This window comes from Homo sapiens, chromosome 4, assembly GCF_000001405.40.
Source record: "Homo sapiens chromosome 4, GRCh38.p14 Primary Assembly".
Taxonomy (NCBI): domain Eukaryota; kingdom Metazoa; phylum Chordata; class Mammalia; order Primates; family Hominidae; genus Homo; species Homo sapiens.
This window is the reverse complement of record NC_000004.12, coordinates 27,215,687-27,234,904: the sequence shown is the minus strand read 5'-3', so window position 1 is coordinate 27,234,904 and position 19,218 is coordinate 27,215,687. Positions and strand designations below refer to the sequence as shown.

The window sequence follows — 19,218 nt, the reverse complement described above, 5'->3', positions numbered from 1 at the left end:
CATTTTAACAAGAGTTTTGAAGCAGACCAATATTCGAACCATAGCAAATTGCATTTGGTTTCATGTAATAGAAATCCACTGCAATGGCTCAACCAAATAAGTTTTAGTTTTCTTACATTACAAAAGTCTGGGTATAGACTGTCCAAGAATCTGTGTCCACTCAAGGAAGCCGTCAAAGGTTAGGTTCTTCCTAGCTTCCTGCTCTATCATCTAAAGCATGTGGCTCTTATCTTCATGGTTGAAAAACGTATGTTCTATCTGCAGGCATTGTTTCTGCAGGCATTGTTTCTGCGTTCAGGAAAGGAAATGAGAAAGAGGAAGGCAAAAACTTTGAGCCAACTTAGCCTGTTATTTAATATCAGGAAAAAGATAGGATTCCCAAAAGTTCTAAGAGACTTCCACTCTTATCCCACTGGCCGATAGCGGGTTATATGATCACCCCTAGAGTCTCAAGGGGTGAGTATTTTTATTGGAGTATATTACTGCACTTAAACAAAATCAGTGTTCTGAGTAGGAAAGAAAGGAAGAATGGATATTGGGTAGGTAGCTGTGAGTGTATGCCATAGAGTCTGATTGGATTTGATGGCAAGACAAAATCAAGATTATTGCCCACATTGGTTTCAGTGTTCTTACTCCCACAACCACCACAGTAGGAAGAGAAAGAGTGGGAGGAAGGGGAGACAAAGGTTAAAGGGAAACATGAGTTCCACTTAGGATATGTTGAATGTGTACTATCTGTGGGACAATTACTCATAACGAGGGTCTGGAGCTCATAAGAAACTTTTGAACTAATGATATATGGCTGAAAGTACTACATGTCTCATCCAAATACCCATGACCTTTCTGCTATATCTGGCTGATCTTGCAAGCTTCAAATCCTTACTCTTTTAAAACCTCTAGCCATTTATGACTAGTACTCCAGTGATCCTCTCTGAAGTCATACAAGCTTTTTAATTTATCCATTAATATTGCATTTTATGTTGACCAGAATGCAAAGAAAATAGAATTTACTTGGCATCAAGCTAAGCAGTTTTTATTTTATTTGCTACCTGCTGTTGGTGTGTTTTGCTTTCTCAGGATCATTCCTGAAAGGGAAAAAAAAAATGGCAAATGAGAATCACTCATCGCTTTCATTGGAGGCTAATGGATGGGAGATATTCCAGCACTAAAGAAATAACATCTTTTGGCAGGGTTGACATCAGTTGACATTTCTCATCCTGGGATTGGACAGGAACATCTGGAATCCTACTAGAGCTCGCTGGCAAACCTCGGATCCAGCTGCTACACAGTTAGACCACTTTTGTGTCCTAATCTCTGCATACTGCTTTTGGCTACTCCAATTAAGTAATTAGATTAGATTAATTAATTAGATTGGCCTACTGGTTCAGATATTTGTAAGACTGTTTTACCTTACAATAGAACGGTCATTACATTTCTCACTTTAACCCAGTCCTTGTTAACTGGGAAGATTCGTTTTAAAACAAAACTCCCTATAGAGAATTCAGAAGAGACAAAACTTAAAATGAGCCATAGGAGGATGGTTCTACAATAGGAACTATAATAATACTGCATGATAACATTTTGAAGCAGCAAGACATATTTGCAGAACATTACCAGCATGGTAAACATCTGGCTTCTGTTGGAAATAAACGGATAAAACATTGTATAACCCTGCTGGTGGGCAGAGGAATAGAGGTGTCTTTCAAAATACATAAAACACTACAGTTTTTAATTGTAATCACTGAAGTGAATCACATTATCAAAGAGTAGCCTATAGAATTTCATGTTAATCATATTGAGGAAAGAGAAATGCAGGAAATTTAAGCTCCTCTAGAAATATGCTCAATATTTTCTCTGTTGCATCTCTTTTTCTTTGCTTATGCTAATTGTTTCAGCTTTTCTCAAGGTAATTGCCAGATCACAGCCTCCTAGTCTTCAGATTTTAGTTGTAGACCCACTGTCCAAGTCAAGAAAGAAGGAAATTATGAATGCTATTCACCAAATATTTCTGGCTTTCCATCTTCCTGGCCATTTATGATTTATGGGACCACATAGCTAATTTTGGCCAATGTGTTGTGAGCAAACACATCTTATGTCATTTCTGAGCCAGTATGAGATCCTGTTGCATTTCATTTAACTGTGTCAGTTTCTGACAACATTCAAGACAGTGGATCTCTGAGTGACCAAGATGGGCTGATCTCCCACTTCCCCACCTCCATTCAAAATTCCACAATAGAAATTTATCCAGAATGGGCCGGGCGTGGTGGCTCACACCTGTAATCCCAGCACTTTGGGAGGCCAAGGCAGGTGGATCACCTGAGGTCAGGAGTTCGAGGCCAGCCTGGCCAACATGGTGAAACCCCGTCTCTACTAAAAATACAAAAATTAGCCAGGTGTGGTGGAGGGCACCAGTAATCCCAGCTACTTGGGAGGCTGAGATAGGAGAACTGCTTGAACCTGACAAAAGAAGGCTGCAGTGAGCTGAGCTCAAGCCACTGCACTCCAGTCTGGGCAACAAAGAGTGAAAGTCTGTCTCATAACTCCACCCCAAATCAACAGAATATACATTCTTCTCAGCACCACACCACACTTATTCCAAAACTGACCACATAGTTGGAAGTAAAGCACTCCTTAGCAAATGTAAAAGAACAGAAATTATAATAAACTGTCTCTCAGACCACAGTGCAACCAAACTAGAACTCAGGATTAAGAAATTCACTCAAAACGGCTCAACTACATGGAAACTGAACAACCTGCTCCTGAATGACTACTGGGTACATAACAAAATGAAGGCAGAAATAAAGATGTTCTTTGAAATCAACGAGAACAAATACACAACATATCAGAATCTCTGGGACACATTCAAAGCAGTGTGTAGAGGGAAATTTATAGCACTAAATGCCCACAAGAGAAAGCAGAAAAGATCTAAAATTGACACCCTAACATCACAATTAAAAGAACTAGAGAAGAAAAAGCAAACACGTTCAAAAGCTAGCAGAAGGCAAGAAATAACTAAGATCAGAGAAGAACTGAAGGAAGTAGAGACACAAAAAACCCTTCAAAAAATCAATGAATTCAGGAGTTGGTTTTTTGAAAAGATCAACAAAATTGATAGACCGCTAGCAAGACTAATAAAGAAGAAAAGAGAGAAGAATCAAATAGACGCAATAAAAAATGATAAAGGGGATATCACCACCAGAAATATAAACTACCATCAGAGAATACTATAAACACCTCTATGCAAATAAACTAGAAAATCTAGAAGAAATGGATAAATTCCTCGACACATACACCCTCCCAAGACTAAACCAGGAAGAAGTTGAATCTCTGAATAGACAAATAACAGGTTCTGAAATTGAGGCAATAATTAATAGCTTACCAACCAAAAATAGTCCAGGACAAGATGGATTCACAGCTGAATTCTACCAGAGGTACAAGGAGGAGCTGGTACCATTCCTTCTGAAACTATTCCAATCAATAGAAAAAGAGGGAATCCTCTCTAACTCATTTTATGAGGCCAGCATCATCCTGATACCAAAGCCTGGCAGAGACACACAAAAAAAGAGATTTTTAGACCAATATTCCTGATGAACATCGATGCAAAAATCCTCAATAATATACTGGCAAATCGAATCCAGCAGTACATCAAAAAGCTTATCCACCATGATCAAGTGGGCTTCATCCCTGGGATGCAAGGCTGGTTCAACATACACAAATCAATAAACGTAATCCAGCATATAAACAGAACCAATGACAAAAACCATATGATTATCTCAATAGATGCAGAAAAGGCCTTTGACAAAATTCAACAACACTTCATGCTAAAAACTCTCAATAAATTAGGTATTGATGGGACGTATCTCAAAATAATAAGAGCTATTTATGACAAACCCACAGCCAATATCATACTGAATGGGCAAAAACTGGAAGCATTCCCTTTGAAAACTGGCACAAGACAGGGATGCCCTTTCTCACCACTCCTATTCAACATAGTGTTGGAAGTTCTGGCCACAGCAATCAGGCAGGAGAAGGAAATAAAGGGTATTCAATTAGGAAAAGAGGAAGTCAAATTGTCCCTGTTTGCAGATGACATGATTGTATATCTAGAAAACCCCATCGTCTCAGCCCAAAATCTCCTTAAGCTGATAAGCAACTTCAGCAAAGTCTCAGGATACAAAATCAGTGTGCAAAAATCACAAGCATTCTTATACACCAATAACAGACAAACAGAGAGCCAAATCATGAGTGAACTCCCATTCACAATTGATTCAAAGAGAATAAAATACCTAGGAATCCAACTTACAAGGGACGTGAAGGACCTCTTCAAGGAGAACTACAACCCACTGCTCAATGAAATAAAAGAGGATAGAAACAAATGGAAGAACATTCCATGCTCATGGGTAGGAAGAATCAATGTGAAAATGGCCATACTGCCCAAGGTAATTTATAGATTCAATGCCATCCCCATCAAGCTACCAATGACTTTCCTCACAGAATTGGAAAAAACCACTTTAAAGTTCATATGGAACCAAAAAAGAGCCTGCATTGCCAAGTCAATCCTAAGCCAAAAGAACAAAGCTGGAGGCATCACGCTACCTGACTTCAAACTATACTATAAGGCTACAGTAACCAAAACAGCATGCTACTGGTACCAAAACAGAGATATAGACCAACGGAACAGAACAGAGCCCTCAGAAATAATGCCGCATATCTACAACTGTCTGATCATTGACAAACCTGAGAAAAACAAGAAATGGGGAAAGGATTCCCTATTTAATAAATGGTGCTGGGAAAACTGGCTATCCATATGTAGAAAGCTGAAACTGGATCCCTTCCTTACACCTTATACAAAAATTAATTCAAGATGGATTAAAGACTTAAATGTTAGACCTGCAACCATAAAAACCCTAGAAGAAAACCTAGGCAATACCATTCAGGACATAGGCATGGGCAAGAACTTCATGTCTAAAACACCAAAAGCAATGGCAACAAAAGACAAAATTGACAAACGGGATCTAATTAAACAAAAGAGCTTCTGCACAGCAAAAGAAACTACCATCAGAGTGAACAGGCAACCTACAGAATGGGAGAAAATTTTTGCAATCTACTCATCTGACAAAGGGCTAATATCCAGAATCTACAATGAACTCAAACAAATTTACAAGAAAAAAACAAACAACCCCATCAAAAAGTCGGCAAAGATATGAACAGATACTTCTCAAAAGAAGACATTTATGCAGCCAAAAGACACATGAAAAAATGCTCATCATCACTGGCAATCAGAGAAATGCAAATCAAAACCACAATGAGACACCATCTCACACCAGTTAGAATGGTGATCATTAAAATGTCAGGAAACAACAGGTGCTGGAGAGGATGTGGAGAAATAGGAACACTTTTACACTGTTGGTGGGACTGTAAACTAGTTCAACCACTGTGGAAGTCAGTGTGGTGATTCTTCAAGGATCTAGAGCTGGAAATACCATTTGACCCAGCCATCCCATTACTGGGTATATACCCAAAGGATTATAAATCATGCTGCTATAAAGACACATGCACATGTATGTTTATTGCGGCGCTATTCACAATAGCAAAGACTTGGAACCAACCTAAATGTCCAACAATGATAGACTGGATTAAGAAAATGTGGCACATATACACCATGGAATACTATGCAGCCATAAAAAAGGATGAGTTCATGTCCTTTGTAGGGACATGGATGAAGCTGGAAACCATCATTCTCAGTAAACTATCGCAAGGACAAAAAACCAAACACAGCATGTTCTCACTCATAGGTGGGAATTGAACAATGAGAACACATGGACACAGGAAGGGGAGCATCACACACCGGGGCCTGTTGTGGGGTGGGGGGAGAGGGGAGGGATAGCATTAGGAAATATACCTAATGTTAAATGATGAGTTAATGGGTGCAGCACACCAACATGGCACATGTATACATATGTAACTAACCCGCACATTATGCACACGTTCCCTAAAACTTAAAGTATAATTAAAAAAAAAAAAAGAAAGTGTCTCAAAAAAGAAAAGAAAAGAAATTCATCCAGAATGAGAACTAAGCCTTCATATTTAAAAACACTGAGGTTCAGGGTTGTTAGTTACCACAGCATAATTTGGTCTATTTTTATAAATATAAAGAGACATTTTTTGTATCTAGACTACTAAAATATTGTTCAACATGTTCCTTTGTGTACTTTGTAAAAACTTTAAGAGACTTAATTTAACAGAGAACAAGAATAGTTATTAACAGTACTTAAAACATGACCTAAATTAGTACAATTATTAATATTAGCATCTGCTCATTTTTAATAGTGACAACAATGCTATTTTCATCTGTAAGGGGATTTCATTCTTTTATTAACACTTCTTTCTGATTTCAGAAGTAAAATATGTTTATTGATAAAAATATGAAAATGCACAGAAAGCAGCAATAGAATTTTAAATTACCCATAATACCTAAACTCAAGGATAACCACTATTAATTTTTTACATATAAACTCCCAGTCTTTAAAGTAGGGTTCACATTTTCAGTACAGCTTTACTTCTGCTTTACTTAACAATGTATTGTCAATATTTCTCTTTATCATTAAATATTCTTATTCATCATTTTAATGGATGAATGGTATTCCATCATATTGATGCATAATTATCTGGTAAATTAACTCCCTACCATTGAATACTTAATTGTTTCTACTTATTTTTTGCAAAATAATATTTCCCTACATCTATAATAATTTTCTCAAAACCAATTTTTAGAAATTCAACTGCCGCATCAAATAGAATGTAAAACTTACAGGTTTTTGACCTTGTTTGCCAAATCACACTTCAGTAATGTAAGTATATTTCATAGTCTATCCAGCATTATATGAGAATGTTTATTTCTTACATTCTACTAACATTGGAAATTCACTGGCATTGTATAAAAGATGAAAATCAGTTTCAAATTTGTGTTCAAATTGTATGCATTCAAATATATTCCTCTTTTCCTTTGTGTTTTCTTTCTTTGTTAAAAATGTCTTTCGAACTCCAAAAATATGTTTACCTACATTTTATTATAGATCTTTTATTGTTTTATTTGTTAATATTTCTTTAAATAAGCCATCTGGATTTTTTGTTTTCTGTTTGTGTAATATGAAAATATATTTAACTTAATTTGTTGTTTTACTAAGTAGTCATTTTTTTCCTAAGCCATCTAGTGGATAAACTATTCATTCTCTGCGTGTATTTGGGTCTGCTTCTTGGCTTGTATCAATTCCATAGTGTTTCAATTGTCGAGACTTTCTTAGTATTTTTCTTATCATCTAAACAAGCACACACAGGCAGGTAGGTGTGCATATATACACACACACACACATTGAGGACAGTCATTATTTTTCCTTTTTGAATTACCTTTCAATTCTTCAGAGTGTTTCAATGTCTAGAAATCTTGAGCATTTCATGTCAGGGGCAGCACCGGACCTGATGCAGGAAGATCTGTCTGGCAGTGGAGGAAGCTTCAGATGAATTCTGCAAGGCAGACTACAATATGATCAGGGCTGGCAGATGGAACTTCTTCTCAAGAAAGTTTCACTCTTTCTATCTAAAAAATATGTCTTTAGTTTCTTTTTTTTTTTTTCCTTTTTTTTTTTTTTTTTTTGAGATGGAGTTTTGCTCTTGTTGCCTAGGCTGGAGTGCAATGGTGCGATCTCAGCTCACTGCAACCTCCTCCGCCTCCCAGGTTCAAGCGATTCTCCTGCCTCAGTCTCCCGAGTAGCTGGGACTACAGGTGCAGGTTACCACGCCCAGCTAATTTTTGTATTTTTAGTAGAGACGGGGTTTGACCATGTTGGACAGGATGATCTTGAACTCCTGACCTCATGATCTGTCCACCTTGGGCTCCCAAAGTGCTGGGATTAGAGACGTGAGCTACCATGCCCGGCTGTCTTTAGTTTCTTAATATTTACATGTGCTGTGAACAAGACACTGTCCCTGTCACTCCCACTTTAGAAGGGAAGAAGCAAACAGAGGCAATTGTCATACATTGTGATGAACTGCTCCTTTAAAAGTGAGTTCAGGACTTCTGCCTAAGAACACGGACCTTTAACAAGCCTGGATTAGATAACTGCAAATATCCAGGTCACACTTTGGGATGCCACAGAGAAACTGTAGTGTAAACCTCTGTCCCTTCTCCAAAAAGGTCAGGATTTTTCAAACACCAAGTCCTATAGTAGGGCAGCAGGTCTAGATTCTGAAGGATGCCGGTTAATCATGCCCTGCAACCATTGATTTTATTAGGCATGCATCACTACAAAATATAAATACTAAATAATTTACTTAAAGCATTTTTGTTGGAAATAGCATGCATGATTAATTTTGTCCTTGATGTGAGATGAAAGCTGAATTGTTTCTATCTAATTGGCAGTTCCCTTCAACAGCTTATTTTCATTAGTAACCACTTGTCATTGCTTTTCTTGATGCAAAGTAAACATCATAATGATTCAGAATGTTTTTAGGCTTTGGATGAGATTTTCTGCTTCTGACTCCAAATAGGGACAATTTCATAGACAGCCCCGTAAGGAATATGAACTAGGACTGTGATATTCACAAAGCGGTCAACTGACTGGTTTCCCTCAAGAGCTTAGGAGAAATACAAAAACTCAGACCCCAACCCAGACCTACTATATTTGAATTTTCACTGTGACAGAAAAACCCCAATGATTGTGTGCACATAAAATATAAGAAGCTCTGACCTAGGAGACATGGGGGAAACTCAGAGCCCAAATACCTCTCTCCCCTCCTTATTCCATCATGATATATTTGGGGCTTAACCATTGCATGTTCGACACAGACAAAGGGTTGGATCTAAGAAACAGTTTTTTTTTTCTTTTTTTTTTTGAGACAGTCTCGCTCTGTCGCCCAGGCTGGAGTGCAGTGGCGCGATGCTCACTGCAAGCTCCGCCTCCCAGGTTCACGCCATTTTCCTGCTTCAGCCTCTCGAGTAGCTGGGACTACAGGCGCCCGCCACCACGCCCAGCTAATTTTTTGTATTTTTAGTAGAGACAGGGTTTCACCGTGTTAGCCAGGATGGTCTTGATCTCCTGACCTCGTGATCCGCCCGCCTCGGCCTCCCAAAGTGCTGGGATTACAGGTGTGAGCCACGGTGCCCGGCCAAGAAACAATATTTTTTTTAAAACCCACTCTTAGTTTCGCCTGAGCTTGTGTCTGCTCAAACACTGTTGCTAGGATGTCCCTTCAGGGCAGAAACCAACTAAGGTCAAATTCTGTTTTTAGTATGAAAAATTTAAAAGAAATGTCCAACATTGGGTATGTGCTTTAAAAAAAAGTTGGGGGGGGGGCTTGTTTGAGTCTTTCAGGTAATAGAATACTCTCCAGCTGTATGAAAAAAATGTTATAGGAGATGAATATTCAGTAAATGGCATTCACACTGTAGTGGGATGCTTTGTGAGAGACACTTTTGCTTCTCTCTCATGTTTATGGAATTCTAGAATTTCAAGATTGACAGAGTCTTCAAAGATCTTCTGGATCTCACCTCTACTTTCTACTCTGCTTGAACACCTCTGATGATGGGGGACTCATTACTTATAGAAAGGCAGTCCCTTCCATTTTATGGAAGTACAAATGGTTAGAGAGTTCTTTCCTCCTTTGACTTCAAAAATATGCTTCTCTGTCGTTTATTTCCTGTGATCTGGGATCTTGGCCTTTGTAATTCATGGAATAACTTCATCCTCCTCTTCATAAACTAGTCCCTCAAAATCTGAAGTCACTTACCATGCTTTCTCTTCTCCAAATTCAGCATCCCCATATACTATAGATTATAAGGAGTAAGAAAGGAAAATTAACTACAATTCGAAGTCAACAACAATTTCTTATGGTTTAGACTTCCCTGGCCTGACTACTTTCCCCTGGGTATACTTCAGTTTCTGTCCAACCACATCCGTGTATTAATACTTTCATTCATTTATTCAGCAAATATTTATTGAATCATTGATTGCTTATTGAAAGTGAGGCACTATTCTAACCACTGGAGATATAGTACTGAATATAATCAACAAAATTCAAGTACTTGTGGGGTTTACATTCTAGCTGTAGAAATAAATAATAAAAATTGCTATGGAGAAAAATGAAGCTGCGAAGAAGGAGTAAAGAATATTTCATGCAGAGTAACCATAAAAGCCAATATTTGAGCAGAGGCCTGAAGAAAGTAAGAAAGCAATCCATGTGGGTGTGGGAAAGAGCATTCCAGGGAGAGGAAACAGCAAGTGGAAAGGCTCGAAGGAGAGAATACACATGGTGTGGTCTTCGGACAGCAAAGAAGCCACCGGAGCTGGGGCTAAGTCACCTCAGAGGTGAGGAGGCAGGAGCTGATTATACAGAGACTTGTAAACCATTGAAAGGACCTTAGAGTATTTTCTCTGAGTGAGATGGAAAGCCACTGGTACATTATAAGCAAATGAACAACATAATCCGACTTAGTGCTAGATAGCCCCTCTGGCTACTGTGTAGAGAATAACTGGTCAGGGTAGAGAGGCAAAGAGGGATTGGGGGTTTGCAGGAAAAGCAAGGAGAACATTGAGGACACTACGGCAATAAGCTAGGAGGAAAATAGTGGCTTAGATGAGAGTGGTAATGCTGGAGAGTGCTAATACTGCTGTGAGCCAAAGCCATTCCACAAGCAATGTTTCTGTTCTCAGTACTGGTTTTCATGGGACTCTCATTCAATGTAACCTATAATCTTTGGAACTTAATGCAGGGAATACGTGAATCCATAATTCCACCAAGCTCTAGTGATTTCTCCAAAGAAATGCTTGAGCTCTCACTTCCAAAACTCTGTCTCTGCCTAACCTTCTAAAATTTCCTAGAATACTTCAAATTCTTCCTGGATACTGTTCTAGCATCTGGTGATATGGGATTACCGGATCCAAATGCATGCCGTTTGCAACAGCCAGCCCAGAAGAACAGACACTGGCAGGGTATTATCCGTGTTCCCTCTGAACTCACAATTCTTTGAACGTTGATTGCTGCCTAAGACAAGCACCTATGACTTTTCCCCTACTGGATTTAGAGGACTCAACCCAGGAGTGGTGTAGGCCAGAAGGACAAGGAATATGCCATTCCCAGGGACAGTGCTTTTAATGATGAAAGTTGGAGAATAATACCCGAGGCTACTTTACCCCTTGGGTGGAACCACACTGAGGCATATTCTGCACTATCTCTCAGAGGCGCTTGTCAGAAATTACCCATAGTTGCCCACAGGGGTAACCTGCTCATTAACACTCACTATGTTGATTCTTTTTCCTTTTCCACCTCATTTCCTCATTCCTCCTCTAGTGTTTCTTGGCACTATGTTCAAAATAAGTTATGTGATTCAAATCTCCATCTGCTTCTGGGGGAACCCAACCCAAGACAAGTAGTACAAAGAGAATAGTAGAGAGCCACTCCTCTTAGCAATGCAGTGGGCAGACTTTTCTGAAGACAATGAGCTATCTCAGTTAATTCAATCAGTTACAGATCAAACTCCGTGTTCTACTGTGTTCCCCATTCTCACTACTGCACTTGAATAGCACTTAAAGTTTTTTTAAAGAATATTATTAACAAAGGAGTAATTATTTGTCATTTTAAAGAGTGGAGAGGGAGATGACATAAGCAAGATAACAGAATAGAAAGTCCAGGATGTTCCCTTTCCCCACAGAGAAACCTATTCAACCACACATGGACCAATTCCCTTTGTAAGAAATCCAAAGAAACTGAGAGGTCCCTGCACCCCAGGTCAGGGCAAAACCAACTGCGTCAAAGTCAGTAAGAAAATTTGTGGCACCCACTTGCCACACCCCTCACTTGCCATTGAGCCCCATAGCTCGATGTAGTGCAATTGGAGGAAAACTGTCAATTTCTGGCTTCTCCTTGGAGAAAGCAAGAGAAAACTAAAATATCCATCCAATGTGCAGGATTTTTAGGTGTTGCCTGAAGGACTGGTTTCTGTCTCTCTTGTCTCAGAGTGCTGATGTGACCCAGCATACTCCAGATCACAGAAGATCACTGCAAATGAAAAAGAACCGGGTGGCTTGCTTAAAAGCCAGAGAACCTGAAATACCACAAAGAGAGACCAAAGATGCAAGAAATTAAGAGGTCCTGAAAAAAAGAAGAAAAGCTGGCAAATGTCTCTAATTGAGAATGTACTTGAACAAATCCAGAAAAGATGCATCCACAGAAAAAGTTTGAGAGGCCTCTGGAATCTTTAGCCAGGCTGAATAGGAAAGGTCTTTCCCTGTCTAAAGCCATTCTATAAAGACTGAGAGAAGCGACTTTTTTTTAATGTGCAAATCCCCCCACAAAGTTACAAGGCACACGAAGAAATAGGAAAGCATGGCCCAATCAAAGAATCAAAATAAATCTATAGAAACCAACCCTAAAGAAATGAAAGCCTGTAAGATACTTGACAAAGAATAAAAAAAAACAGCCATAAAGATGCTTAGTGAGCTCAGAAAAAATCAAAATTAGAATATCAGCAAAAAAAAAGGAAATATAGAAAAAAGTCAAATAGAAATTCTGGTGCTGAAAAATACAATAATTGAACAAAAACGTTTACTAGAGTGGTCCAACAGCAGACTTGATGAAGCAGAAGAAAAAAATCAGTGAACTTGAAGAAAAGTCATTTGAAATTACTCAGTAAGAGGAGCAAAAAGACAAAAGAATAAAAAGCATGAAGAAAGCCTAGGAGACTTACAGATAACCAAGAAGAAATGGATAAATTCCTAAAGACATACAAGTATCAAGAGTGAATCATGAAAAAAATAGAAAATCTGAATGTGCTAGTGATGAATAAGAAGATTGAATCCACATTCGAAAACCTCCCAGAAAGGAAAAGCTCAAGACTAAAGGGCTTTACTGGTGAATTCTACCAAACTTTTAAAGAAGAACTAATGTCAGTCTTTCTCAAACTCTTCCAAAAAGCTGAAAAGGAGGTAATACTTCCAAACTCATTTTATGCAGTCAGCATTATCCTAATATCAAAGCCAGACAAAGACACTATAAAAAAAGAAAGCTGTAAGCCAATATCTCTGATACATATAAATTTTTAAATCTTCAACAAAACACTACCAAACTTAATTGAACAACAAATTGAAACTATTATATATCACATTCAAGCAGGTTTTATCCCTGAGATGCAAGTATGGCTCAATGTATGAATCTATCTATACGATATGTCACATTAATAGAAGAATAAAAATCATACGATCATCTCAATAGACACCAAAAAAGCATTTGACAAAATTCAGCACCACTTTATAATAAAAACACTCAACAAACAAGGAGTAGAAGAAAATTACCTCAACATGATCAAGATCATATATGAAAAAGAAAAAATGGAGCTAGCACCAAACTCAAAGGTGAAAAACTGAAAGCTTTTCCTCTGAGATCAGAAACAAGCCAAGGATGTCCAGTCTCACCACTTTTACTCACCATGGAACTGGAAATCTTAGCTAGAGAAATTAGTCAAGAAAAATACATTAAACTTACCCAAATCAAGAAAAGAATAAGTAAAATTATCTCTGTTTGCAGATGTATATGTAGAAAATCCTAAAGTTCTTTTAGTTTCTGAAAAAAAAAATCCTGTTGAATAAACAAATTCAACAAGGTGGCAGGTTTCAAAATTAACATAAAAAGTTGGTTATGTTTCTATACCCTAAAAATTAACAATCCAAAAAAAAGAAGTTAAGGAAAATAATCCCATTTATAACAACACCAAAAAAATAGTTTGAAATAAATTTAACTAAGTTGGCCAGAAACTTGTACACTGAATGCTGCAAAACACTGGTGAATGAAATTAAAGAAGACACAAATAAATTTAAAGACATCTCATGTTCATAAATTGAAAGATTCAATACTGTAATGTGCACATTACCCAAAGTGATCTATAGATTCAATGAAATTCCCATCAAAATCCCAGACTTTTTCACATAAAGAGAAATAATAACCCTAACATCTATAGGGAACCACAAAGTACCCCCCAAAAGCCAAAACAACTGTGAGAAAGAGCAAAGCTGGAAGTCTCATACTTCCTGACTTCAAATTATATCACAAAGCCACAGTAATCAAAACAGTATAGTACTGGCATAGAGATGAACCTATAGATTAATGGAACAGGAAAAATACCCTAGAAATAAACCTATGCACATTCAGTCAACTTATCTTCAACAAGGATGCCAAGAATACATCATGGGGAAATATATCTCTCCAACAGATGGTGCAGGGAAAACTGCACATTTAGTTGTAAAAGAATAAAATTGAACCTTTATTTTACACCACACACAAAAGTCAACTCAAAATTCACTATAAAATTAAATGTAAAATCTGAAACTATACAACAACTACAAGAAAACATAAGAGAAGAGCACTATAACTATTTTTCCATGATTTCTTGAATATAACATCAAAAGCACAGGACACAAAAGCTAAAATAGACAGAAGGGATGACTTTGAAAACCTTAAAACCTTCTGCACAGCAAATAAAACAATCAACAGGATGAAAAGCAACCTATGAATTGGAAAAAAATATTTCCATATCATATAGCTGATAAGGGGTTAATTTCTAAAATATATAAGAAACTCCTACAACCAATTGCAAAATAAGTAACTCAATTTAAAAATGGGCAAACAGCTTAATTAAATAGACATTTCTTTGAAGAAGCCATGCAAATGGCCACTAGGTATAGGAAAAGATACTCAGCATCACTAACCATCAGGGAAATTCAAATCAAAACCACAATGTGGCCAGGCACTGTGGCTCACACCTGTAATCCCAGCACTTTGGGAGGCCGAGGCAGGTGGATCATTTGAGGTCAGGAGTTTGAAACCAGCCTGGCCAACATGATGAAACCCCATCTCTACTAAAAATTAGCCAGGCATGGTGGTGGGCGCCTGTAATCCCAGCTACTCAGGAGGCTGAGGCAGGAGAATCACTTGAACCTGGGAGGCAGAGATTACAGTGACCCAAGATCACACCACTGAACTCCAGCCTGTACAACAGAGTGAAACTCTGTCTCAAAAAAAAAAAAAAAAAGCAACACACAATGAGATATCACCATATCCCTCATATCTGTTAGGATGGTCATTATTTAAAAAAATAAAAACCCAAAAACCAGAAAATATCAAGTATCTGTGAGGTGGTGAGGATGTAGAGAGATTGGAACCCTTGCACACCATTGGGGAGCAAGATACAGGCACTCTATGGAAAATAGCACAGAAGTTCTTTGAAAAATCTGAAAATAAAAATACCATATGATCCATCTGTCTCATTTCTAGGTATGTATCCAAAATAATTTAAAGCAGGATCTCAAAGAGATATTTGAACTCCCATGTTCATTGTGGCATTATTCACACCAATCAAGAAGGGAAACAACCTAACTGTCTGTCAACAGATGAATGGATAAAGAAATATGTGATATATATACACAATGGAATATTATTTAGTCTTTTAAAAGAAAATCCCATGATTTGTTTCAGCATGGATAAACTTTGAGAACATTATGCTAAGTGAAATAAACCAGTCACAGAAGGACAAATACTTCAATTTTCCACTTACATGAAGTATCTAAAGTAGTCAAACTCATAGAAGCAGAAAGTAGAATGATGGCTGCCCTGCTATGGATGGGGAAATTGAGGTATTATTTATTAATACAGTTTCAGTCATGCAAGACAAAAAAGTTGTGGAGATCTGCTGTACAACAATGCATATATAGGCCTGGCATGGTGGCTCACGCCTGTAATCCCAGCACTTTGGGAGGCTGAGGCAGGCAGATCACTTGAGGTCAGGGGTTTGAGACTAGCCTGGCCACCATGGTGAAACCCCATCTCTACTAAAAATACAAAAATTAGCCAAGCATGGTGGCAGGTGCCTGTAATCCCAGCTACTCGGGAGGCTGAGGCAGGAGAATCACCTGAACCCGGGAGGCAGAGGTTGCAGTGAATAGAGATCATGCCACTGCACTCTACCCTGGGCCACAAGAGCGAAACTCCATCTCAAAAAAAAAAAAAATTAATGCACATATAGTAAATACCGTAATACTGTACAATCCACTTACAAATTTGTTAAGAGGGTAGATCCCATCTTATGTGTTTTTTACAATTAAAAAAAAGAAATTATGCCAGCAAGAGTCACATACCTATGCATCGAAATGTACAGTCAACAAATTACAATTGGATAAACCATTTTAGATAAGGCCTGCACCTGCAACCTAGAATGACTACCACTTTGTCTCAGTGTTATCACTGACCAGCTGTGTAACCATGGGCAACTTTCTTGCCTAGTCTGGGCTTCAGTTTCCTAAGTAAAATGACTAAAATAAATTAACTCTAAAGTTGATCCTAACAAAGTTTTATGACCCTGAGTTTCTGGTTTACTCAGCATAACCTTCATGATAAGAAGCAAAGTTAGCAACCAACTGTCTTTAGACAGACCTAATTTTACATTTTCATGTAGCTCATTGAGGCAATTTCTTCCCTAATCTATTCCTTTGTGCTGAACTTTTTTAAGTTTGACACTCTAGATATCCGTCTGCCTCAAGCAAAACAGTTGACAGAAACCCATGAACCCATCATGCCCTGATTCATAGGAAGTAATTACTAATAATCCTAATTCTGGTTCATAGTTTGCTTGTCAGTAATTACAGCTGCAGTTGAATGCTTTCAGCATTAACCATCAGCCCAGAGTTGCAGCTCCCTCCTCATCTCAGGGAAATGGAACTGTGAGTACCTTTCAAAGCAAGGTTTGCTGCTTTTTTGCCTGGAACACTTTTTAATTGGGTATCATTTGGAAACTTCTAAATCCCATTTTAGAGCTTCTGGTCACTGCGTTACTTATTGAAGCCCTAAAAGCTAGTTATGAGGCATGCCTGAACAGTGCGAATGTCAAAGCAAAAATTACGATCATCTCTGCTTTCTTCCGAGAATGAAAAAAGCCATCATCTTGACCTTTTTTTTTAATATACTAAAAGAAATCTAAGATAACAAAGCTGTATGAGAAAGTACTTATGAATTTGGGATTGAAATTGCACTTCTAATTTAAGAGTTTTCCATCTAGTTAGGAGGGTTTAAAATTGTTAGGTTGTTCAGAAACCCACAGACTATGTAAATGTACAGTTTTGGTATATCCACCCAAGTGCCTGACTAGAAACTTTAGTCATCTTTACCTTCGCCCTCTCTTCCCCACCCACATCTAATGAGTCAACAAACTCAACCCATTCTACTTTTCTAATGATTTTGGAATTTACTCCCCCACCTCCACCCCCATTACTGCTGAAAAGGCAATTAAAGATCTCATTACTTCTTAAGTGGGTGAGTGGTTGGCTTGATCCCAGCCCTTCTCCACCTCAGGACTCTCCTACACGGACACAAGAGATGGCTTTACTAAAGCACAAATTAGAGGCTGATTTTCTACTTATAAATACATGATGCCTCCCTGGGGCATAAATGAGTCAAAGCCTTAGTTTGGTACTTCCTACTTCTTTAGCTTATTCTCTTAGACTTCCACTTCATCACTTCCAGCTGTCTAAATCCCACCCACAAGACTTATTATTTGTCATCCCTTGAATTCCAAAATGCTCTGTGCACTTGCAAATATTTCTGTTAGCTCTTTTCTTTGCCAAGAATTCCCAACTTTATATACTGAAATCTTACTTATATTTGAATATGAAGCTCACCCATCAATTTCTATGAAACTTCCCACAACTCTTTTAGAACAGCTCAATTGTCTTTCCTACATGCTTCCCTAGAACATTTATTTATTCACCCATTCATTTTTTTTTTCATTCACCAAATCTTTAAGAAGCAACTAAATTCTGGAGATACGGACTCCTGCCCTTGGGAAGCCTACCTTCTTATAGACTATTTCTACCACATGGATGCTAGCTCATAGTCTTTTTACCCATATTTTAATCAGTGTCCTGTTTCCTTCATTGGACCACAAACTCCTTGAAGGAAAGAGATTATGTTTTATTCAGTGCCCAGAACAATGAGTGATTTTCAACTAATATCTATTGAATTTTACTTAAACTAGCTTATCTCTTGAGTATGTATGTACAAGTATGTATTTGTATTCAAACCAAGAAACTTACAATACCTAGTACTTTGGTAGCTGTGCACTGCCCTAGGCATCATCTATATATCACTATCTAGCTTAAAACCAAACAGATGCTGGTGCAAACATCTCACCAGCATTAGTGCAGGTAATGAATAAGAAGCACTTGTCACAGTGACTGGCATCTGAAATTGCTAAAAAACACAAATCCCTCTTCAGGTTAATTTGAGTAGCCTTACATTTTTTAAGATTCAAAATAAGCTGGTCTTTGTTTAAGTCTGATGGACTTTTCAAGTAAGAATGTCCAACAAAGCAAGAGTTTTCATCCAACCCATTTCCTCAAAGTGTTTACCATTCAATCAATAATAGTAGAGGCATTTGCAAAGAAGAGTAGAAAAAGGTGAATATTTGAATTTCTGTAAGAGATCTGGGTTTCAGGACCAGCTCTGACATGAATAACTTCTGGAAAATCACCTCATTTCTCCATTACTTAGTTTTCTTATCTGTCAGGGATGGGGACATTAATAACACTTTTACCTCCCTTGAAGAGTTTTGTGGATAAAAATATAATAACTGTAAGATTAGCCTGAAAAATAAAGGTAAAAGCTTATCAAATGTGAGGTAGTATTTGTAATAGTAAAAACTTATGAAATGCTCTCATGACTGAACCATCTCTGAGGGATGTCCCCAAGCACATATAAGGCTGTTTGGTAAATTGATACACATATGGTCAGGGATTTAGTGGCAAGAGATAATAAATCCTCGCCAGGTCCTCTTGGGGCAGATAAGAAACAAGTATAGCCAACCCTCAGTGACCTGTGATAACAAGGCCAGGGATGATACGGATAAACGGATTTCGCAGATTATCCAAAAATATAACTTTTCCCAATTAGGACCTCTAAACTTTTGCAGAAATTCCTTAAAAAGAGCCAAATTACTTTCACCTGGACTCATAACCTACATGAGTTTCACCACCAGTTCCTACCCCTTCCCATGCCTAGATACAGCTGCAAAAAAAAAAAGAAAACAAACAAAACAAGAACAAGTAAGTCTGCTGGGGCAGCTGCCATACCTAATGCTGAGCTACCCGGGAGAACTCAGTACATTTTATTTTCAGAGATGTG

At 37.9% G+C, this 19,218-nt stretch overlaps 1 long non-coding RNA gene across 1 annotated transcript in view, besides 1 other annotated feature; it reads right to left on the bottom strand.

The window, feature by feature from the left end:
* LINC02261 (long intergenic non-protein coding RNA 2261) overlaps positions 1 to 17,426 on the bottom strand; it is a 64,747-nt gene extending 47,321 nt beyond the window's left edge. Inside the window, exons 1-3 of the long non-coding RNA NR_125921.1 lie at positions 17,342 to 17,426; positions 7,408 to 7,524; positions 3,384 to 3,541 (exon numbers count right to left, since the gene is read on the bottom strand). This is a non-coding gene — a long non-coding RNA (long intergenic non-protein coding RNA 2261). The remainder of the gene's footprint in view (positions 1 to 3,383; positions 3,542 to 7,407; positions 7,525 to 17,341) is intronic.
* Positions 16,597 to 17,796: an enhancer, noted in NCBI's record as "BRD4-independent group 4 enhancer chr4:27218731-27219930 (GRCh37/hg19 assembly coordinates)". NCBI's record gives its function as "activates an origin of replication core promoter dependent on BRD2, P300/CBP, MED14 and CDK7 cofactors, and independent of BRD4, by STARR-seq in HCT116 cells {active_cell/tissue: HCT116}" and the evidence as "EXISTENCE:reporter gene assay evidence [ECO:0000049][PMID:35650434]".